Source organism: Homo sapiens, chromosome 1 (genome assembly GCF_000001405.40).
Source record: "Homo sapiens chromosome 1, GRCh38.p14 Primary Assembly".
Classification (NCBI taxonomy): domain Eukaryota; kingdom Metazoa; phylum Chordata; class Mammalia; order Primates; family Hominidae; genus Homo; species Homo sapiens.
The window spans coordinates 233110347-233134251 of NC_000001.11; the positions used below are offsets into that span (position 1 = coordinate 233110347).

General features: G+C 41.1%; 1 protein-coding gene across 8 annotated transcripts in view, besides 3 other annotated features; it reads right to left on the reverse strand.

Moving 5' to 3' along the window:
* The window catches only part of PCNX2 (pecanex 2), a 343895-nt gene that overhangs the window by 126912 nt on the left and 193078 nt on the right, over positions 1–23905 (reverse strand). The window contains exon 22 of one of the 8 annotated variants that reach the window (XR_001737430.2): positions 2453–2620. The exons of the other annotated variants lie outside the window; for them this stretch is intronic. The gene's annotated coding sequence lies outside the window, so the exon portion shown is untranslated. The remainder of the gene's footprint in view (positions 1–2452; positions 2621–23905) is intronic. 8 annotated transcript variants of the gene reach the window in all.
* Positions 4256–5455: an enhancer, noted in NCBI's record as "CDK7 strongly-dependent group 2 enhancer chr1:233250348-233251547 (GRCh37/hg19 assembly coordinates)". NCBI's record gives its function as "activates an origin of replication core promoter dependent on BRD2, BRD4, P300/CBP, MED14 and CDK7 cofactors, with strong dependence on CDK7, by STARR-seq in HCT116 cells {active_cell/tissue: HCT116}" and the evidence as "EXISTENCE:reporter gene assay evidence [ECO:0000049][PMID:35650434]".
* Positions 18214–18726: an enhancer, noted in NCBI's record as "H3K27ac-H3K4me1 hESC enhancer chr1:233264306-233264818 (GRCh37/hg19 assembly coordinates)". NCBI's record gives its function as "activates a minimal SCP1, AML or CMV promoter by ChIP-STARR-seq in naive H9 embryonic stem cells {active_cell/tissue: H9 hESC(naive)}" and the evidence as "EXISTENCE:reporter gene assay evidence [ECO:0000049][PMID:30033119]".
* Positions 18727–19237: an enhancer, noted in NCBI's record as "H3K27ac-H3K4me1 hESC enhancer chr1:233264819-233265329 (GRCh37/hg19 assembly coordinates)". NCBI's record gives its function as "activates a minimal SCP1, AML or CMV promoter by ChIP-STARR-seq in naive H9 embryonic stem cells {active_cell/tissue: H9 hESC(naive)}" and the evidence as "EXISTENCE:reporter gene assay evidence [ECO:0000049][PMID:30033119]".

Below are 23905 nucleotides of genomic sequence, written 5' to 3' on the forward strand. Positions count from 1 at the left end.
CATAGAGGGACATCTATAAAGTGCTAAGATGGCTGGGAGAACTGCCATCTTGTGGAACTATCAACATAGAATTCTATTCCCAGCAAAAATATCTTTCAAAAATATAAGAGAAATACTTTCTCATGCAAACAAAACTGACAAAATGTCTTGCCAATAGGCCTACACTCAAGAGCTGTTCAAGAAAGTTCTTCAGGCAGAAGAAAACTTCAGGTCAGAAACTTGAATCTACACAAAGATATAGAGCATTGGGAATGAAATAAATAAATTAAAATCATGTTTAGAAATTTTTAATTGCTCTAAAAGAGCAATTTTCCTCTAAAGCAAGAATAGTAAACAACGGATTGTGTGTTCTTAGCATATGTAAGAATAAATATATGACAATAATAGCACAAAGGAAAGGAAGGAGAAATAATGTTAAAATTCCTCACACTACATATAAAGTGGTATATTATTTAAACGTAATATTATTTAAATTTAATATATATTTAAATTTATATTATTTAAATAATATACCACTTTCTGTGTAGTGTAACAACACCACACATATACCTTTAAAGGCAGATACTGACGAATTAACTTTTATATTCCTAATATAAGAGAATGACTTTTAAATGGCACAAATAATATGTCAGTAGAAGAAATAAAATGGAATAAAGAAGTAGTTCAAAGTGACATCCCCTCAAAGATTATCCTGTTATCCTTCTCTCCACTGCCCTGATCACTTGTCTCCTTCTAGAGACTCTTAAAATATTTGGCATATCATTTTTTATCACACGGAAAGTCGTACAGAATCTTGGCAGCAAGAATGGGCACTGGAGTCAGACCCGGGTTCTGATGCTAGGTCTGCCTCTTATTAGTTGTGAGATGGGTTTCAGTCCACTGAGCCTCAGTTTTCTCATCTGCACAGCAGACTGGTGCCTACCTACCTCAGCAATTTATTGTGAAGATTGAATGAGGTCATCCATGTACATTTTTAGCTCAAGAACCAGAATATTATAAGTACTCATAAATACAGGTTATTTTACTGGTTGCACTTATGAGATTGTTTCAAAATTATTTATTTTTCATTTTTTATTTTTTGAGACAGAGTCTTGCTCTGTTGTCCAGGCTGGAGTGAAGTGGCATAATCATGGCTCACTGCAGCCTCAACCTCCCAGGTTCAAGCGATCATCCCACCTCAGCCTCCAAAGTAGCCTCCCAAGTAGCACCACCACACTTAGCTAATGTTTGAATTTTTTGTAGAGATGGAGTCTCCCTATGTTGTCCAGGGTGGTCTTGAATGCCTGAGCTCAAGCGATCTGCCCACCTCGGCCTCCCAAAGTGCTGGGGTTACAGGTGTGAGCCACCACACTCAGCCCCAAATTATTTTTTATATGTCTGTCTCTCCTGCATCCCCCATTAGAATGCACTGTCATTGGCAGCAGGCACTGGTATTATTTACAGTTTTACTTTTATCTTCTAGAAGATTTGTAGGATCATAGTAGGTATTTCAGTTAATGCTTTTCAGAAAGTGAAACAAGTGACTGAAGGCCTCAGGTATTGTTCCAGTTCATCAAGCGCATAGGCTATAGGAGCTTGGGTTCAATGGAATTTTTCCGATTACTTCATGATTCTCATTTACATGTCACATCTTTGCAATTGCCACTGCTTTTTCTGATAAGACAGGTATTTATCCTCTCTTCCTCCCTGGATGTTTCAAATTTTATAGTAACTATCTCAGTCTCATTCATAGCCTTTCTTCACCTAAGGTAGAAACACCATGGTTTGGACCACTCAAAGTACTTCCAAAACTGCTAGTTCAAGGAAAGAAAGAATGGGAAAATCTGTGACCTTGAAGATCTTGTCCTAAATATGAGCACCTGGTATAGAATTGAAATCTGCAGGTTCCAAATGTACATCCTATAAAACAAGATGCCTACAGCCAGCACAGGAAGGCACATGCCAGTGGTCAGCCTTGCAAGGAAAAGGCTTCCCTGGCGCTTCACCAGATTGAGTTCTCTATTCTGGAAGCACTTTAAGGAGGGCCTTTCAGAGGGCACTCCTAGGTGCTGAATGAGCAAGGTTTTCAAAATTCTTTCAGCAAGTGAGTCTAGAGTTGTCACCTGTCTTGAATTCCTGAAGCCACTCAAGTAGCCTTTGTGCCTTAAGCACACCTTACTTCCCTGCTCCTTAGAAGATTTACCAGCTCTGGCTCTTCAATTCTCTCTATTAATGAAGGCACATCACTGCCCAGAGGGACTGCAACATTTAACCAGTGAGAATTCTCTCTTTCAGCAGAGAATGCTGCAAACTTTTTAAAAAGATGGGCGTTCGTAAATACTTCTTTGATGTGTTAGCGGGATGAATGTGTCTGTGTAGATCTTTGAACAATATAACTAAATTCACATATTTATTATAGTATACTTTGGCATGAGAATTAAGCAAAAATGAAGAAAAAAATTTTAAGTCTTACATGCTAGGCTTGATGTCCCAAATGGGGAGAAAAAGCTGACTCTTACTTTGAAGGCTGAAGGGCAGAGGAGTTACTAGCGTGTATTTCAGCCCCTCCCATGAGATGAACTGCAGTAACTTGCATGGTTTGAGTTAAGGGAAATCATCCTCTTTGTGTGTGGGTGCCGTCCTAGGGAGGAGAAGACAAGAAAGTGGATGTGTTAGGCTGTAAATCTTTAAGGGATGTGTAGGTTCTGTGCAGGCACTTTCCTGCAATTACACAATACAACACTAAGAATGCAGCCACAGGCTGTGGTCACAACGCAGTGAGCTGGCCAGTTGGGTGACATCAGCTTGTCATCACCAGGGTAGATTTACAGCTAGAAGCAGATTGTGGTTTATTCTTCCTGGTTTTGCAAGAGGGATTCTGATGACTAGACAGCACAGAGCAACAAACTCACAGCTCTACTGGCCCTGTGCTAACTCCCCACTGTGAACAGGACAGCAGGCAGCAGCTAGACAGCTGAACAAGATTCATAAGAAGCCAAGAAAATCAAAACATACACCTTGAGAAGCCAGAGGAGGAAATCTAAGTAATCCATAGGCTCAGTCTAAAAGCCTTGCTTCTCCCCGTACTCCCTTCCCCCACCACTATGAGTCAGCATCTCTCTAGAATAATAAAACGCCACCCAACCCCTGCATCCAAGCTAAGAGTTTATTTCTCAAAAAAACAGTTTTCCATCTCGGAAGCTCTCAAATGAATTCAGTCAATATGTGCTGAGTAATTATTACGAGCCTGCCTCTTGTAAGATGTTGTGTAAGGTAGGAAAGAAAGAAATACAGCAGTGGTCTCACCACTGAGGCATTTCCGGTCTTCCTGGGAACACAGACGCACTAGAGGTGTGTGTTCTTTGTTTTCAGGCATAGTGCAGAGCTTGTGAAATTCTTTCCCTGAACCATCCTGGGTGGCAGCTGAGAGTGCAAATGTATCCCTGAAAGCCCAGAAAATGTGTTTTGCCTATGCAGTGGCTGCATGGAACTTCTGCAAACCAGTCTTTACTCCTGAGCCTGTGCAGACTCGAATAGCACTGAGTTCAAGTCAGCCTCTGTAAGTGACTTAGGATATGCTAATGAACAGTCATTGTAAGAGAGCAATATTCAACATTCCGGAGTTTTATTTCATATCTACTCTGTGCCTGACTGTGTTCTGCAAATTGGGGTTCTATCAGTAACCAAAAGAGACAAAGATCTTTTCCTTCAAGGAACTTAATAATAGTGGGAGATACAATAATATAATAAACAATTATAAAGTGTGTTATAAGATGATGACGGCTATGACAAAAAGGTAAAAAGTAGTGCAAGTACTTAAAAGGGTGAAAGGATTGGAAACCTGGGGTGAACGGTGAAGTAGGGTAAAATTACAATATGAAACTGGGTGGGTCAGGGCAAACCTGACTGAAAAGGTGAGATCTGAGCAAAGGCTCAAAAAAGGATCGAGTCCAGTGGATATCAAGGGAGGAACATTTAAAGACAAAGGAAACAGAGCGTGGAGTCTCCAGTGGCAGCACATCTGGCATAGTGGAGGAACTGCAAGTCTACCTGGGTTGGGCATGAGGAAGAACAGAAGAGGAGGTCAGAGCAAGAACGGAGACCAGTTGGTGCTGGGCCAGTGTCATGGGTTTGCCTTTTACTCTGTATGAAGTGGTGAGTCATTACAGGGTTTTGGGCAGAGAAGGTACAAAATATGGCTTGTGATTTGAAAGAAAGACTTCAGAGACGTTTGGTTTCTGCTGTGGCATGTAAAAAGCTTGGAAGTTATTTTTACAAGAAGAAGAAGCTGGATAAACAGAAAACTGATGGCTCGTCTCAACCCATCAGATCACTGATATTGCAGCGGTCACAGAAAACTCTGGACTACGGAGCGACAGGCGCATCCAGAAAGTCACAATGCAGATTAGCTTCTGTGGGGCAAAAGGTGCTGTGGCCATAAACTCCTAGGAACATTTAAATGATAATTTTCATGAAGTTATACAGGCTGAGGGTGGCCTACCATGAGATTAAGAAACTCACAGGCACCACGGTCTTAGGGAAGGGCCTACACTTTCAGGGGTTTTACTTCCAGAAACCCCACTAGGTTCTCATGGTGAAGATCAAGAAACATCCCCTCACGGCTCTGGTAGAAGGTGGGGAAGATTAAACAATGCAAAACACACAGGCTTATCCTCCAGAGCACAGCACTGCACAGGAGCCGATCCCACGTGGGAGAAAGAACTTCCTTCCCTACCAGTTTACTCCAGTTTATCTCACTGGAAAGAGGAAGGGAGGAAGAAACATAGTCATTGGGTGTCAGGGCTTCAGGGAAATAGATTGAGACTACTACAACCAGGGAAGGAAGTCGAGGGCATTAAAAAAAAAAAGTTTACCACTTTGGAAACATTTGTGAAGGTTACAGCCCGGAGACACAGGCCCAATTAAAAACAGATTTAATTGGAAGATAATAGAATGCTCCCCCTACCCCACACCTTACCAGCACACCAACAGGAACTCAATATAATAACACTAGATCCCAGATAATAGCGCTACAAGACATAAACCGTTTCCGAAGAGAAGCTTTAAGGGAAACCGAAAGTCAAGATGAGACAAAAACAAGGACACTAGAAAAATCTAAAGCCTCTGAGACCCACAGCTAAAGGCTAAAGCAACGTTAAACATGGCCTAACTCTTAGAGTAACATAAATTCTCAAATTAAATGCTTTCTTACCTCAGTTCCTGTCACCTGATACAACAGGTTCAACTTTGAACAATAGATTAAGGGCATAGCAAAAGGCAGGAAAAAATGTAGTTTAGAGAACTAAAGGGCCAGCAAGCCTCAGAATCAGAGTCATATATAACATAGATGTTGGAATTATCATACAGGAGATGTATGAGAGTTCTAGTGGAAAATGTAGTTCAAATAATCCATGGCAAAAAGAAAGAAGATAGAGAAAAAACAAACTGAAAACTATAACAACAAAAAAGACAAACATAAACACTACCATATCAATGATTACATTAAATGAAATGGTCTAAATATACTAAAGACAAATATTGGCAGAATGGAATAACAACCATAACTCAACTATATGCTGTCTATGTAATGATATGAACAGTTTGAAAGTAAAAGTATGAGAAAATGTGTATTATGCAAATATCAACCAAAAACAGGAGCAGTGATATCATTATCAAATAAACCTCAGAGAAAGCAAAGAAATTACCAGAAAAGACATTATATAATGATAAAAGCATCAATCCACCAAGATCTAACAATTCTAAATGTATATATAACAAACAATAGAAATGCAAAATATGTGAAGCAGGAACTGATAGAACTGAAAGAAAAAACAGACAAATCACAATTATGATTGGAAACTTCAACACACCACTCTCAACAATTGACAGAATGATTAGACAGAAAAAATAACAATATAGCAGAACTCAACAACATTATAATGCAACAAGATATGATCAACTTTTATTGAATACTCTATCCAAGAACAGGAGAACGCACAGTCTTTTTAAGTGTCCATGGACAGATACAAAGATAGACCATATTCTAGGCTACACACACACAAACACACAGACATTAAAACAAACAAACAAAAAACTCAACAAAATGAAAAGAAATGAAATCATACAGTGTACTCTGACCATAAAGAAATCAACCTAGAAATGAATAATAGAAAGATAACACAAAAATATCCAAACCCTTGGAAAATGACATACTTCTAAATAATCCATGGATCAAAGAGGAAGTCTTAAGGGGAATAAGAAAAATACATTGAATTGAATGAAAATGAATGTATAACACTTCAAAATTTGTGGAGCACAGCTAAAGCAGTGCACAGAAGGAAATTTATAGCACTAAATGCATACATTAGAAAAGAGGAAAAGTCTCAAATTGATAACAACATCCCACCTCAAGAGCCCCCCCAAAAAGAAGAGCAAAATAAATCCCAAGAGAAGAAAGAAAATAATAAAGATAAAAGCAGAAATCTATGAAATTACAAATAAGACAAAAATAAAGAAAATCAATGTAACAAAGAGCTCTTTGAAAAGATAAATAAAATTAAGAAATCTCTAGAAAGACTGACAAAGAAAAACACAAATTAATAATATCAGGAGTGAAGCAGGAGGTATCACTAAGGAAACTGCGTATGTAGAAAGGGCAATAAGGGAATACTATGAACAACAACACATAGTACAACAGAACAATAGTAAATTTGTCAATTTAGAAGAAACAGATCATTTCCAAAACACAGCTATCAGAAAACCCAATATGAAATAGGTAATTTAAATATCCCTACAACTATTATGGAAATTTAACTTATAAATTTAAAAACTCCCTCAAAATGTTCTCCAGACCAGATGGCTTAACTGGAGAATTCTAACAAAGGTTTAAAGAATTAATGCCAATTCCACAAAATCTCTCCAGAAAATAGGAGAGGAAGGGATACTACAATTCATTTTTTGAAGCTAGTATTACCCTAATAGCAAAACCAGACAAAGACAATACACACAAAAGACCACAACCCCCGGCCTGGCGCGGTTGCTCACGCCTGTAATCCCAGCACTTTGGGAGGCCGAGGCAGGCAGATCACCAGGTCAGGAGATCTAGACCATCCTGGCTAACACAGTGAAACCCTGTCTGTACTAAAAATACAAAAAATTAGCCGTATTCGGGAGGCTGAGGCAGGAGAAAGGCGTGAACCCGGGAGGCGGAGCTTGCAATGAGCCGAGATCGCGCCACTGGACTACAGCCTGGGCGACAGAGTGAGACTCCGTCTAAAGAAAAAAAAAAAAAAGACCACAACCCCCATACACAAAAATATAGGTCAATATCTCTCATGATATAGACCAAAATTCTTAACAAGATATTAACAAATAGCATTCATAAACAATTAAGAAGAATTATAGGCCAGGCGCGGTGGCTCACGCCTGTAATCCCAGCACTTTGGGAGGCCGAGGCGGGCGGATCACGAGGTCAGGAGATCGAGACCATCCCGGCTAAAACGGTGAAACCCCGTCTCTACTAAAAATACAAAAAATTAGCCGGGCGTAGTGGCGGGCGCCTGTAGTCCCAGCTACTTGGGAGGCTGAGGCAGGAGAATGGCGTGAACCCGGGAGGCGGAGCTTGCAGTGAGCCGAGATCCCGCCACTGCACTCCAGCCTGGGCGACAGAGCGAGACTCCGTCTCAAAAAAAAAAAAAAGAATAATTATAGACCATAACCAAATGGGTTTTGTTTCAGGGATGCAAGGTTGGTTTAATTTTCAAAAATCAATCAATGTAATCCACTTATTAACAGGCTAAAGAATAAAAATCACAGAATTACATCACCCAATATAGGAAAAGCATTTGACAAAATGGAACTTTCATTATGTAAAAATGCTTAGAAAAATAGGAATAGAAGGGGAACTTTCTCTACTAGATAAAGACCTACAAAAAACTACAACTTACTCATACTTACTGGTGAAAGTTGTATGCCTTCTTTCTAATGTCTGGAAGAAGGTAGGGATCTACTCTCACCACTCTTATCTGACATAGTGCTGGAGGTGTTAGCTAGTGCAATAAGACTGGCAAAGGAAGTAAAATGTAAGCAGATCAGAAAGGAAGAAATAAAATGATCCTTACCTACAGATAGCATGGTTACCTACATAGAAAATCTCAAGGCACCTACAAAAAAAAAAAAAAAAAAAACCCTCCCAAAACTGGTAAGTAAATTCAGGCTTACAAAAATCTATTGTATCTCTATATGCTAGCAATAAAACCATACATTCTGAAATTAAACATACAATTCAATTCATAGTCACTCAAAAAAAGGATCACATAAATTGTAAATCTAACAAAACTTGTGCAGAATTTATAAGCTAAAAGTTAAAAAAACTCTAATGAAAGAAATCAAAAGATAAATAAATGGCTACTGTAGTTACAGATTGGAAGACAACATAGAAAAGATGTCAATTCTCTCTAAACTGATATAGAAGCTTACAATTCCTATTAAAATCTCAGCAAGTATGTTTTTTTACAGATGCAATAAAAATTAACCTAAAATTTATAGGAAATGCAAAGTTAACTAGAATAGCAAAACAATTTTGGGAAAAAATAAAGTGGGAAGAATCCATCTACCCAATTTCAACTCTTTCAGTACAACTAAAGTAATCAAGACTTCTTGGTATTGGTGAAGGGATAAACAGATGGGTCAATAGAATAAAATATAGCACTCAGAAATATACTCACACAAACATGAGCAACTGATTTTGACCAAGGTGCAAAAGCAATTCGAGGAAGGAAAGACAGTCATTTCAACAAATGGTGCTGGAATAATTAGATATAAATAGGCAAAAAAATTAAAAACAAAAGCAAAACAAATAACCCTTTACCTAAGTCTCGTAATTCATATTAGCTCAATAAAGATCACAGACTTAAGTATAAAACGAAAAGTATAAAACTTTTAGGAAAAAAAGGCCAGGCACGGTGGCTCATGCCTGTAATCACAGCACTTTGGGAGGGCGAGGTGGGCGGATCATGAGGTCAGGAGATTAAGACCATCCTGGCTAACATGGTGAAACCCCGTCTCTACTAAAAATACAAAAAAAAAAAAAAAAAAAAAAAAAAAAAAAAATTGCCGGGCGTGGTGGTGGGCGCCTGTAGTCCCAGCTACTCGGGAGGCTGAGGAAGGAGAATGCTGTGAACCCAGGAGGCAGAGCTTGTAGTGAACAGAGATCCCGCCACTGCACTCCAGCCTGGGTGACAGAACGAGACCTTGTCTCAAAAAAAAAAAAACAAAAACAAAAACAAAACAAAACAAAAAAACGAAAAAATGGCTTAGGAAACAAACAAACAAAAAACAGGAGAAAATCTTGGGGTCTAGAACCAGGCAAAGAGTTTTTTGCACTTCACACAAAATTATGATCAATAAAAGAAATTATTGATAAATTAGACTTCACTAAAATTAAAACTTTTTGTACTACGAAAGACCCTATTAAGAGAAGGAAAAAACAAGCTACAGAGTGGGAGAAAGTATTTGCAGATGACATATCCAACAAGGGAATCAAATCTAGAGTACACAGGGCTGGGCGCGGTGGCTAATGCCTGTAATCCCAGCACTTTGGGAGGCCGAGGCGGGTGGATCACCTGAGGTCAGGAGTTCGAGACCAGCCTGGCCAACATGGTGAAATGCTGTCTCTACTAAAAATACAAAAATTAGCCAGGCGTGGTTGCACGCGCCTGTAGTCCCAGCTACTCAGGAGGCTGAGGCAAGAGAATCTCTTGAACCCGGGAGGCAGAGGTTGCAGTGAGCCGAGATCACACCACTGCACTCCAGCCTGGGTGACAGTGAGACTCCATTTCAAAAAAAAAAAAAAAAAAAAGAAATAAAAAGAAAAAAGAAAAAAAAAGAGTATAGAGTATATAAAGAATTCTCAAAATTAAACAGTAAAAACCCAAACAATCCAATCTAGACCATACAAAAACTGTATGAAGCCAGTTTACCAAAGAATATATACAAATGGAGACTAAGCACCTAAACAATATTCCACATCACTAACCTTTATGAAAATGTAAATTAAAACCACAATGAGATATCATTACACATCCACCAGAGTGGTTAAAATAAAACAATAGTGGGAATAGAAAATGCTGACAAGGATGCAGAGAAAATGAATCACTCATGTATTCCTGGTGGAAATATTAAATGGTATAGCCACTCTGGCATTTTCCATAAAAATTTAGCATGGAACTACCTACGGCAAAAGTAAAAGTACCTACCCATGAAAAGTAATGAATTATCGATCTCCACAACAACCTGGATGAATAATATTGTGTGAAAAAGTCTTAGAAAAGTGAGTGAAAAAGACAATCCCCAAAAGTTATATATTGTATGATTCCACTTATGTAACATTCTTGAAACATCAAAATTATAGTTACAAACATGATAGACATTAATTTAACTTTATCAACAATCAATTTAAATGTGAATGGTCTAGATACACAAATTAAGAAACAAAGTGTTAGAGTAGATTAAAAAATAAAAGAAACAACAACAAAAACAATTTTTTTTAAAAAAGAACCAACTACTAACTATAAGTTTGATACAAAGAAACTACTCTAAACATAAAGATTCAGAACAAACAGTCCAGGAACTAATAAGTCAGCATAGCAAGGCTGCCCTATATGAAGTCAATAAACAAAAGTCAATTGCTTTCTCATATGCCAGCAAGGAACAATTGGAGTTTAAAATTAAAAAAAAAAAATACACCCTCCACGATAGCACCAAATAAGACAAAATATGTGTGTATCAATATAATAAAATATGTACAGTATCTATATGCAAAAACCTATAGAAATCTGATGAAAGAAACCAAAGACTATCTAAATAAATGGAATAATATTTCATGTTCATAGACCGGAAGATCGAATATTGTTAAAATGTTGATTCTTTACAACTTGATCTACAGATCCAGCATAAACCCATTCAAAATCCTAACAAGATATTTTGCAGATCTAGAGAACTGATTCTGAAATTTGTATGAAAGGCAAAACAACAACAGTAAACAAAAATGAAATAGCCAACACAATACTGAAGAAGAAAACAAAGTTGGAAAAATCACACTATTTCAAAGCTCACTATAAAATGATAGTTATCAAGACAACATGGTATTAGCAAAATAGACACATATATTAATTGAACAAAACAGCTCAAGAAAAAGACCCATACAAATATGGTCAACTAGTTGTTGTTAAGGGCATAAAAGAAAGGCAATTCTATGGAGTAGAAGGTTCTAGAACCAGTCCCCCACAGATACTAACGGGTGACTGTACATGCGAATTGGAATTGAACAGTTAACTAAATGGATGACAGATGGTAGAAGCTAAGTTTCTCACTATTGGAATGGAAAGTTACAGCAAACAAGGGGAAAAGGCTAGAATGATCCATGTAGTAATAGATTAGATTTGAAAACATTAATTTGAACTCAAGTTTAGTTTAATGCCGATACAGGTAGTTACAGACATACAGACATATTTCTAGATATGTGTATATACAGATGATATACACACATATATTTCCTTGCTCTTTCAGCTGAGAATGCCTAGATGCAATGACACCCCAGTATCAATAAGTACATCTAGTACCCAGATCAAACTGTTTTCCAATAAAATAGAACAGGGTTTCCTGGAGAAATGGCTTATTCTAGGACTGATTCAGGAAGTATGTGAGGATGAGCCTAGATCATCCTGTAGTGACAGAAAGTTAGAAAGTACACACACACACACACACACACACACACACACACAGAGGGAGAGAGAGAGAGAGAGACAGAGAGACATGGGATTATATCACAGAAGCTGCCAACTGGAGAGCTCCAAGTAGCCAAAGTTGAAAAAATCGAGGAAACAAGATAAATAAATAATAGATTATAACCTAAGTATAAAATAAATATCTGAGCCCATACTGATATGAATGAATGAATAAAGAGACAAATCTCCCATGCAGAAGAATTCAAATAATTTTGATACTTTCCCCCAAAGGAAGTGAAACATAACTTCCCATTCCTTCAATGTGGGCTGTGCATAGTGGCTTTCTTCCAAAGAATATAGGATGGAAAGGAGGACAAAAGGGTAACATTGCAGTGGAAAAACCTTATGATACTTAAGCCAGTTAATCATGCTTAACATTAATGGTAATATGATGATTCATGTTAATATTATATATCTTTTTTTTTTTTTGAGATGTAGTTTCACTCTTGTTGCCCAGGCTGGAGTGCAATGGCATGATCTTGGCTCACTGCAACCTCTCCTTCCTGGCTTCAAGCAATCCTCCTGCCTCAGCCTCCCAAGTAGCTGGGATTACAGGTGGCCGCCACCATGCCTGGCTAATTTTTTGTATTTAGTAGAGACGGGGTTCCACCATGTTGGTCAGACCGGTCTTGAACTCCTGACCTCAGGTGATCCACCCACCTCAGCCTCCCAAAGTGCTGGGATTACAGGCATGCACCACTGTGCCTGGCCATAAATCTTTGATATAATGTGATGAGAATGATACTTGACCTACATGGTCTTCCTCCCCAAAACACATAACCCTAATATAAATACGAGGAAAGCATCAGACAAATCCCAGTTGAGGGACAGTCTATAAAATACCTGATCAGTACTCCTCAAAACTGTCAAGTCATCACAAACATGGAAAACATCAGAAACTATCACAGCCAAGAGGAGCCTAAGGAAACAGGATAACTCAATGTATTCTGAATGGGATCCTCCATCAGAGAAAGGACGTTAGACCAAACTCAGGATGTCTGAATAAAGTATGAACTTTAATAGTAACACACTATTTGGGCTCATTAATTATGACAAATGTACCATACAAATATAAGATATAAGTAACAGGGAAATAGGGTGTGGGGTATATGGGAATTCTCTATACTATCTTCATGTCTTTTCTGTAAATCTAGAATTATTCCAAAATACATCTTTTAAAAAACATCTGGCCGGGCGCGGTGGCTCACACCTGTAATCCCAGCACTTTGGGAGGCCGAGGTGGGCGGATCACGAGGTCAGGAGTTCAAGACTAGCCTGGCCAACATGGTGAAACCCCATCTCTACTAAAAAAATACAAAAATTAGCCAGGCATGGTGGTGGGTGCCTGTAATCCCAACTACTCGGGAGGCTGAGGCAGGAGAATCACTTGAACCCAGGAGGCGGATGTTGCAGTGAGCCAAGATTGTGCCATTGCACTCCAGCCTGGGCGACAAGAGCAAGACTCTGTCTCAAAAAAAAAAAAAATCTTCTTGTAATACGAATGCAAATGAAAGACAGTTGTGTCTATCACAACCAAGTGGAATGCTTAAGTTAATGACTTGATGAAGGCAAGTCTCTAAAGACATTGTTGTGGACCTAGATATGAATGAGAAGAGATTTGGGAAGAAAGAAAATGTGGACTACTTTCAGACTGTTTCACAAGGAACCTTCATTGTCTCAATTCAAGTAGAATAAAAAACAGAAATGGAAACTGAACACCCTAGAAAATGTATCATGGGCATAGTTCACTGAAAAAGACCATATAGTCATTCTGTAGATTCCCACTCAAAGAGAAGTCCTTGCCCTCCATCAGAATACTGGTAATGGAAGTTAATGTGTAAGTTTTTAAGTTATTATAATAAAGACAAGTATATAGAGGTATCATTTATTATTTCTTGCTTAATTTTTTTCAATTAACCAACCAACCACCTGCCAGATTTAGTTGAATATAAAGTTTCTACTGCACTGGTCCTTCTTCTCCTCATTCTCATTCTCGTTTTCTGTCTCATTATTTCTTTATCATCTATACTTTCAAATGACAACCAAGCGGCTGGTATGTAATCCAGACAAATTTTCCATAGAAAGCTGTAGACAATTTAAGTTTTATCAGAGCAGATGTACTTTCTTACGGATGGGATGCCGTAGGGTATGAAGAACACTAGGCCTTATGAATTGATGTTATTATGGGGGTTAGTCTTATCCAGCAGACAGCAAACTGTGAAATGACCTTACTGACAATTCCAGAATTACGAAAAAGATCAATAAATCTGACAAGTCCATTCTTCAGCGCAGTGAGGGAAAGTGAGCTAAAAATAAACTGAAAATGGAGCATGAGTCAAAACTATCTCACCAAAAAGATAATGTAGGGATGCTATGACCACCACCTTATTTCAGGATAATGAGAATTAGTCAGTCCACATACTGACCCTGTGAAGCAGGTGGATGCAGATGTTACCATCCAGAAACTTGGAGGAAGCAGAGGGAAACACACTAAGATTAATGGCACCAGAGGAAATAACATTTGTTGTTCATGGTTTTCCTGGTTGGGAATGCCTAAGGACTCAATTCTTGTACTAAAAGTGTCAACGCTTGCATTTTAAATGTAGAGATGGCATCATTACATCATTAAGTGCACATTGCAGGCTAGTCTTTGCATCACACATATTTAGCATGTTTATTCCTGCAAGGGCAGTAGACTAAATCCTTCACAGGTAATAAATACATCATATTTAACACCATTCACCTCTTCTGGACCAATAAAGAATCAACAGCCCTAAAGTGGTTGTGATTGTAGAGTTTTCCCTGAAAGACAGCCTCACTGAATTCTCCCAAATACCCACATTTAAATACACTGATCTGTGATCAATGAATATACTTGGTCATTTACAAATAGGTATTGAGAGCTCACCCTACTAAGGGCACTAAAGAAAGCACAGAGGATACAAAGAAGGAAGAACAGAGTACCTGACCTTGAAGAACTCACTCTGTTTCAGGACCACCATGGTGTCAACCTCACCAGTGGCTTCTCTGTTGCTAAATCTAGTAGTGGCATTTCAGTGTTTCAGTGTTGAGCTTTGATCTCTGAAGGCTCTGGCATTGCTGAACTATTCCTTCTTTCTTAAAACTGTTTTCTTTCTTGCTTTCTATTATACCGTACTTAATTTTGTTTCACGGGTCACTTCTCAATATTTTGTTACATCTTCCTTCCTCTACCTGCTTCTTAAATGCTGGTCATCCTTGTTAGTAGCAATAGTGTTTTGGAATGATTCTCTATTGAGATCCTTTCAAGAGCATCCTCTTGACCCAGCAAGTCCAATCCCGGCGGTCTATGCTTCTAAAACACTCACATGCACCAGTATGTTAAACATGACCTTCTGTGTAGTCCAATGCAGTGGCCACCAGCCACTTCCATCTGCTTCCCCTGACTTCTAGTCCTGGTGGTTTGGTTGAAATTCCAGGGGTGGGCAGGCAGTCCAGGACTTATCAGCTAGGGAACCCATATCCCTCCTGCCATTGTACCTGGTTCAAGAATGAACATGTGACACAAAACGTCAATGAGACTTCTCCCCCACCCGAAGACTTTGGCTGAAACTATCAAGAAAGATACTCTCTCTTTTGGGGGAGGATTATTAGTTAAAACAATGCTATAAATGTAGAACTGCTAGTGACCACAATTACCACCACGTAGAGACAGCCAGTCTAACTATGAAGTCAACAGATGGGGGAGAAGGAGAAATAAAAACAGATCTTCAATGCCATCATTAATGCCTTTGGGTCATTCAGTAACTTACGTAAACTGTTAAATTCTCTTTTGTCAGCTGGGCGCAGTGGCTCATGTCTGTAATCCCAGCACTTTGGGAGGCCGAGGCAGGCAGATCACCCGAGGTCAGGAGTTCAAGACCAGCCTGACCAACATGGTGAAACCCCATCTCTAATAAAAATACAAAAATTAGCCAGGTGTGGTGGCGTGCACCTGTAATCCCAGCTACCCATGAGGCTGAGACAGGAGAATCGCTGGAAGTTGGAAGGCAGAGGTTGCAGTGAGCTGAGATCACGCCACTGCACTCCAGCCTGGGTGACAGGGCAAGACTCCGTCTAAAAAAAAAAAAAATTATCTTTTGTCATTAGGCCAGTTTCATTTGGGTTTCTGTGGTTTGTGACCCAAGAAGTCCCAAGTACCACAGAAAAGCTTGGAAACAAACTAGGTGCCTGTTAATAATGAAATAACTCATCAAATTATGGTATATGCTATAGCATTCTCTGCAGGGGTCAAAAGGAAGAGGCAACATGATATGCACTGTCATGGAAAAGTCTTCTAACACATATTTTAAGCAAAAATGGAGGTAAAAGGCAGGTACAGAATGAACCTATTGATATTTTAAATTTGTGTGGTGTGTGTGTGTGTTTGTGTGTGTGTGTGTGTGTGTAAATATACCAGAGGACTGGGAGGATTTATTCCAAAATACTTACAATAGTTATCCATAGGAAGAGGTTAGGGTTAAGCAGACAGAGATATGCATTAAAACAGACTTTTTTTGTATTTTCCATTGCTTTTCTAATTTTATCATGATAAGAATATATTTAGGTATTACTTAAGTAAATTTAAAAAATTATTATAAAATGAGAAAAATCCTTTTTTCAAGGTTTTTATGTTTGACCTTTATGGCTCTCGTTCCACAATCTAATACATCAAAGCTAACATCCTTTTCCCAAAAACGTCTTTCTCTTCTTTATTATTCCCTAATCTAGTTAATGACACCCCCTTTCATCTAGTCACTGAAGTATGCTGAGAGCTCTCCCAGAGGTGGCTTTCACCTGCACTGCACTCTCCCCCGTATCTATCTGATCACTAAACGTAATCAATTCTCTCTCAAACGCCTCCTGAATTTGTTCCCTTCTTCCCCTCACTTCTGCCACCTCGGTTCAAGTCCTCATGAGTTGCTTGGATGATTGCAATAATTTCCTATTCAGTTCCAAGACTCCATGTCTTCTCATCGTTTACTCACTTCCACAAAGAGATATTTCCAAAATGCAATTCTGATCTGTTTTTCCTCTGCTTAACAGCCGTCAGCTGATATAGGAATGAAGTCCAAACTCTGTAGCACGGCACGCTGGGTCCTTCGAGATCCATCTCATAGACATCTCCAGGTTCATCTCTCACTTTCCCAACCATCCACTCCCCTTTCCAGGTTTTCACACTTCCCAAATTTCTCACGGTTTCCGGAATGTGCCAACTCCTCTCTTGCTTCTGTGCCTTTACACATGCAGCTTCCTCTGCGTAACTCACTCCTCCCTGCCTTCTTTGCCTGACTTACTCATTCTTCCTGAAAGCTTAAGGTGAGCACTGTATTTGGTTCTCTCAGGTTAGACTGGGCACTTGTGCTCCTGAAACTCTACCACTATCACCTCCCTTATCATCCTTTCTTGTAATTATCTCTTTACTTGTCTGCCTCTTTTTCCAAACTCTCCAAGCAGGGAAGGCAGTATCACAAAATACAGACTCACAGCCAGACTGCCTGGCTTTGAATCCTGCCCTACCATTGTATAGCTAAGAGACTTTCTGGCAATTCACTTAATTTCTGTGCCTAGTTTTCTCACCTTTAAAATGAGGCATATCCACCCACAAAGCTGTTGTGAAGATTACATATGTTATTATGCACAAAGTGTTCAGAACAGTTCCTGGCCCACAGAAAGTACCAAACATTTGGTATCATTTGTATTACTAATAACCTTTGGATAATACCTAGCCCAGTGCCTGGCAGGCACCCAGTAAGTGCTCAATGAATGAACAATTGCTTTTTTGAACAAAGTATTTTGAACAAGTACTTCTGTATAAGTATGTATTTTTTTAAAAAGTGGCTCAATTTTAATCCAAGACTTTCTATCTGTACTCACAAAATAAGGAAAACGCCATTTAGAAACTTCAATTTCAAATAACTTGAACACCCAGCGTGGTAGTCCATGACAAAGCCACACATCACGGTTCTGGTGCGATCATTCATACAGCTTTATCATAAATACAACCTCATACATTAATTTTCATCTCCTAAGTGGCAAAAGTGTTATGTCCCATGTTGAACTAATGGCCTGTAGAATTTTATGTCTAATGTATTCTGGAAATGCTGGCAGAATGATCCTATGGCAGGATTTTCTCAAGTTCTGCTTTTACATCCTGTGACAACCCAAAGTTACCATGATTTTAAAAACAATGTTTTTTTTTTGTTTTGTTTTGGTTTTTTTTGAGACAGAGTCGTGCTCTGTCGCCCAGGCTGGAGTGCAATGGGATTATCTTGGCTCATTGTAACCTCCGCCTCTGGGGTGCAAGCAATTCTCCTGCCTCAGCCTCCGGAGTAGCTGGGATTACAGGCATGTGGCACCACGCCCAACTAATTCTTGTATTTTCAGTAGAGATGAGGTTTCACCATGTTGACCAGGCTGGTCTCAAACTCCTGACCTCAGGTAATCCACTCACCTCAGCCTCCCGAAGTGCTGGGATTACAGGCGTGAGCCACTGTGCCCGGCCAACTATGGTTTTTAAGAACTTTTTCAGGGCCAGTGCGAGGTCATGAAAGAGTATTTGTCATCTTTGCTCCTGTAACAGTCAATATTCCTTGCAACCAAATATCCTCATCTGCATGTTTTACTGTACCCTAAAGACCCAGACAACCAGAAATGTCACCAATGAATAACAAAAGTTCTTAAAAGAATGACTGAAGAAGCAAGATAAAGAGAGGGAAGGGATCGAGGAAATGAAGGAGCGAGGAAGAAGGATGTGTGGTAGGAGGGTCCCATGTCTCAGGAAGGGACATGCAGAGACCGTTCTTTCTCACTGCCCTCCTGAGAGGTGACAGTGTGCTGGCAGCCCTCGCTCACTCTTGGCGCCTCCTCGGCCTTGGCGTCTGCTCTGGCCATGCTTGGGGAGCCCTTCAGCCCGCCACTGCGCTGTGGGGGCCCCTCTCTGGGGTGGTTGAAGCCAGAGCCGGCTCCCTCAGCTTGCCAGGAGGTGTGGAGGGAGAGGCGTGGGCGGGAACCTGGGCTGTGCGTGGCGCTTGTGGGCCAGCTAGAGTTCCGGATGGGCGTGGGCTTGGCGGGCCCCGCACTCAGAGCGGCCCCGGGCAGTGAGGGGCTTAGCACCCGGGCCAGCAGCTGCAGAGGGTGCGCTGGGTCCCCCAGCAGTGCCAGCCCACCGGTGCTGCCCTCGATTTCTCGCCGGGCCTTAGCTGCCTCCCCACGGGGCAGGGCTCCTGACCTGCAGCCCGCCATGCCTAAGCTTCCCCCACCCCGCCCCGCCGCGGTGGGCTCCTGGCAGCCCAAGCCTCCCCGAAGAGCGCTGCCCCCTTGCTCCACGGCACCAGGTGTCATCAACCAATCGCCCAAGGGCTGAAGAGTGTGGGTTCACAGTGCGGGACTGGCAGGCAGCTCCACCTGCGGCCTCAGTGTGGGATCCACTGGGTGAAGCCAGCTAGGCTCCTGAGTCTAGTGGGGACTTGGAGAACCTTTATGTCTAGTTAAGGGATTGTAAACACACCAATCAGCACCCTGTGTCTAGCTCGGAGTTTGTGGATGCACCAATGGGCACTCAGTATCTAGCTGATCTGGTGGGGACTTGGAGAAACTTTGTCTAGCTAAGGGATTGTAAACACACCAATCAGCACCCTGTCAAACGGACCAATCAGCTCTCCATAAACCAGACCAATCAGCTCTCTGTAAAATGGACCAATCAGCAGGATGTGGGTGGGGCCAGATAAAAGAATAAAAGCAGGCTGCCAGAGCCAGCAGTGGCAATCTGCCAGGGTACTGAGAGCTTTGTTCTTTCACTCTTTGCAATAAACCTTTTTGCTGCTCACTGTTCGGGTCCACACTGCCTTTATGAGCTATAAGACTCACTGCGAAGGTCTGCAGCTTCACTCCTGAGGCCAGCCAGACCACGAACCCACCTGCAGGAATGAACAACTCCAGACACGCTGCCTTAAGAGCTGTAACACCATGAAGGTCTGCAGCCTCACTCCTGAAGCCAGCGAGACCACGAACCCACCAGAAGGAAGAAACTCCGAACACATCCGAACATCGGAAGGAACAAACTCTGGACACGCCGCCTTTAAGAACTGTAACACTCACCATGAGGGTCTGCAGCTTCATTCTTGAAATCAGTGAGACCAAGAACCCACCAATTCCGGACACACTCCTACCCCCTCAACCCCCCCACCCACAAACACACCCACGTATCCACACACATGCAAAGCCAGGCTGCCATTCACTAGGAAGTGTCTCACCCACCGTCTCGATACACGGCTGCACTTAATTTGTCTGGTGGGTTCCAGCCTTGGAACTCAATATTTCTGCCCCCCAACTTTTGTGTGTGTGTGTGTGTGTGTGTGTGTGTGTGTGTGTGTGATGGAGTCTTGCCTTGTTGCCCAGGCTGGAGTGCAGTGGCGCAATCTCGGCTCACTGCAAGCTCCACCTCCTGGGTTCCCGCCATTCTCCTGCCTCAGCCTCCTGAGTAGCTGGGAGTACAGGTGCCCGCCACTGTGCCCGGCTAATTTTTGTATTTTTAGTAGAGACGGGGTTTCACCATGTTAGCCAGGATGGTCTCAATCTCCTGACCTCATGATCCGCTTGCCTCGGCCTCCCAAAGTTCTGGGATTACAGGTGTGTGCCACTGTGCCCGGCACCCCCCCCTTTTTTTTTTATTCCAGATCTGGCAGACTTAAGAGAGTAGGCAATATTCATCCTCCAGACCTCAGGGGGAGTGGGGGATTTGGGGGCTTAGGGAGGTAGAGAATATCATGAGGGCAGGGCCTGGGCCCTCTGGAAGCTGTCTGTTTCCTTCCTTGGCCTCCTGGCGCTTTGATCTCACTCTCTCACTAATCACTTCTCTCCTCTGTTTCTACCCATAAAGCCCAAAGGATTAGAGGCAACCAACTTAAAATAATACTGTGTCCTATATTTGGGCAGCTCCTTTCTTCCGAGGAAACTGAGTGCCCATCCAAATCTTGCTTCATTAACCTCAGAGCCCTTCTGTGAGGGGGGCTGCCAGGCTAACAATAATTCTCTATTTAGTGAAACAGGAGCAAGGCTGAGGGAAGGGCTGGGGGACATCTGCAGTGGTCAGAGGACAAGACCTGTCATGAGCAAGACTTCCATGAGTCTAGTGGACAAGTAACATTTCACATTGTGCAAGGAATTGTCCCAGAGAGCCGTACTACCTGTAAGCACAACAATGGGGCCTTCTAGAAAGCCCCTAGGAAATACATTCAAAGAGACTTTTTTTTTTGAAAAAAAATATTAAAATGAGCAGAATGAAAAGGAGCTATCAATTAGGACTTTCAGGCAGAATCTTTACAGGGGACCTTAACTGTGAACTTCTTGATATAATCATCTTCTGTCACTAATATCCACTGGCTTTTTTCCAGGAAAATCACAAACACTCTCTTTCTTTCACTATATTCTTTTTCATCAGAGAATAAGATCTTGCTTCTCATTCCAGAAAACTCATTGTCATCAGCTCTCTGAAGATAAAGAGTGATCCAGCATTAGCGGGAGGCAAGATGGGCCAGGATTCAGAATCCCCAACTTTCCGACTTGCTGCCTACTTTCCTTGCTTTTGTCTCACTAATTTTTCTTTTTTTTTGACACTTAGCCATTATCCCAGCCTAAGAGTGGATTATTCAAATAATATGTGCTAATGCTCCCTCAATTAGAGAAAATAAGAAAGCTGCCACTCTGGTTCTATCTGAAATTATTCATATTTTAATTGGTGCTTCAAAAAGATGATGGCAAAGTGAGTCAAATGCCTGCACAACTAAGCTTTTGTGGATTTCGTTTTAGATCTTTTTTTTTTTTGAGATGGAGTCTCACTCTGTTGCCCAGGCTGGAGTGCAGTGGTGGGATTTCAGCTCACTGCAACCTCTTCCTCCCAGGTTCAAGCGATTCTCCTGCATCAGCCTCCTGACTAGCTGGGATTACAGGCACCCGCCACCACGCCCGGCTAAATTTTTTTGTATTTTCAGTAGAGATGAGGTTTCACCATGTTGGTCAGGCTGGTCTCGAACTCCTGACCTCGGGTAATCCACCCTCCTGACTTCAGGTAATCTACCCTCCTCGGCATCCCAAAGTACTGGGATTACAGGCGTGAGACACCGCACCTAGCCTAGATCACGTCCTTGTCAGGTTCCATCCTCCCCATTCTACACAGGATGTCGCTGAGTGTCTGCACCGACTAGAAGGACGACTGACAGCCATGCTTACTCCCTTTCTTTGTCCCTTGAAAGCCCCTTTGGTGAGATGCCCACTTCGAGCCACATATTTTTGTCAGTGGACTGCTGTCAGTGCAGAATGCTGTCAGGATGAGGAAAGGCGGCCTGTGCTCCCATAAATGAAAGCCACTCTTCTTACTACAGGTATGGAATTATTTAGAAGCCACGCCTAGGACTCTTACAGAAAGAAACCTCACTCCTCTTCTGTTCACCTGGGGCCAGTCACTAATACAAGGTGATATGAAACTGACAGTTCAGTGTGGAAAAGTGGCCACATTCCTTCACAAACACAGTGTGTCACTTCCTTTTTCTACTTACATACAGCTTTAAAAACACGACCTTCTATTGGAGAGTATGTTCTACTTAACTTTTTTCAGTTATATTGACAAATCCTCTTAAATGACTTGCCATTATTATTTTCCATTTTACAGGAAACTGAGGCTCAGAAAGGAATATAAACATCATCATGTCAAAATGTAAATAATGCCTGAGTCAGGATTGAACTCCTCTGGCACATTTTACATCTTTTTTTTTTTTTTTTTTTTTTTGAGACAGGGTTTCATTCCTGTTACCCAGGCTGGAGTGCAGTGGCGCAATCTCGGCTCACTGCAACCTCCACCTCCTGGGTTCGAGCAATTCCCCTGCCTCAGCCTCCTGAGTAGCTGAGGCTACAGGGGCATGCCACTACTCTTGGCTAATTTTTGTACTTTTTGTAGAGACTGGGTTTCGCCATGTTGCCCATCCTGCTCTCGAAATCCTGATCTCAAGCAATCTGCCCATCTCAGCCTCCCAAAGTGCTAGGATTACAGGCGTGAGCCACTGTGCCAGGCCACATTTTACATCTGATGATAAACTCTTATCCCTGCAAGCAGTGAAGTAATTTCTAGTAACTTCACAAATAGTTTAAAGATTATAGGATATAATGTTACATTTATTATGTGAGATGACAGAAATTGATAGTTAATGAAGGAAAATAGCTTATGGAAGCCTGTGATTTGAACAGTAGAAAAATGGGATAAGTTAATCAGAACAGAACAGAACTCAGCAAACAGGAAATAAATGTTTGACCAAGGCCAGGGTCTACAATAAAATACAGAAATTGGGGCAGGCTGCAGAAGTAATGGTGAGAAACCAATGGAAGATGACACAAGAGGGACGTAGGTCACTGAAAATTAGTGCCCAATTGGAGTTATAAGAGGAAATTGGGGCCAGGTGCAGTGGCTCATGCTTGTAATCCCAACACTTTGGGAGGCCAAGGTAGGAGAATCACTTGAGGCCAGGGGTTGGAGACAAGCTTAGGCAACATAGCAAGACCCTATCTTTACAAAAAGTTTTTAAAACAATTAGCCAGGCGTGGTGGTGCATGCCTGTGGTCCTAATTACTCAGGAGGATGGGGCAGGAGGATCACTTGAGCCCAGGAGTTGGAGGCTGCAGTGAGCAATAATTATGCCACTGCACTCCAGCCTGTGAGTGGCATTGTGTTTGTGAAGGAGTGAGACTCTTTCTCTAAAATAAAAAACAAAGAAATTCACGTGCAATGGTGGGGTGGTGGGAATTACTTATGAGGCCTCTTTAGTACGATACAAGAGTTTTTTATTTTTGTTACCTAAGAGAATCCAAGAGAAAGGCAGTAGAAGGAAGAGGTAAGTAATAGAAATAAAGATGAACAGAACTGATTAAGAGGTGAAAAAATTTTAAAAATTTAAAATTTAGAAAGACTTACAATTAAAAAAATTATTAACTAAAAGGGGAAAGGTGTTGCTGAAGTCAGTCTCCAGAAGAAACCCCGTGGCTGCTGTATTCAACTGCCGGTGTGAGTGTGAACACCACGTGGAAGAGGTTGTATCATCACTGAGTTTATTTACCAAGAGTTGTTCCAAATT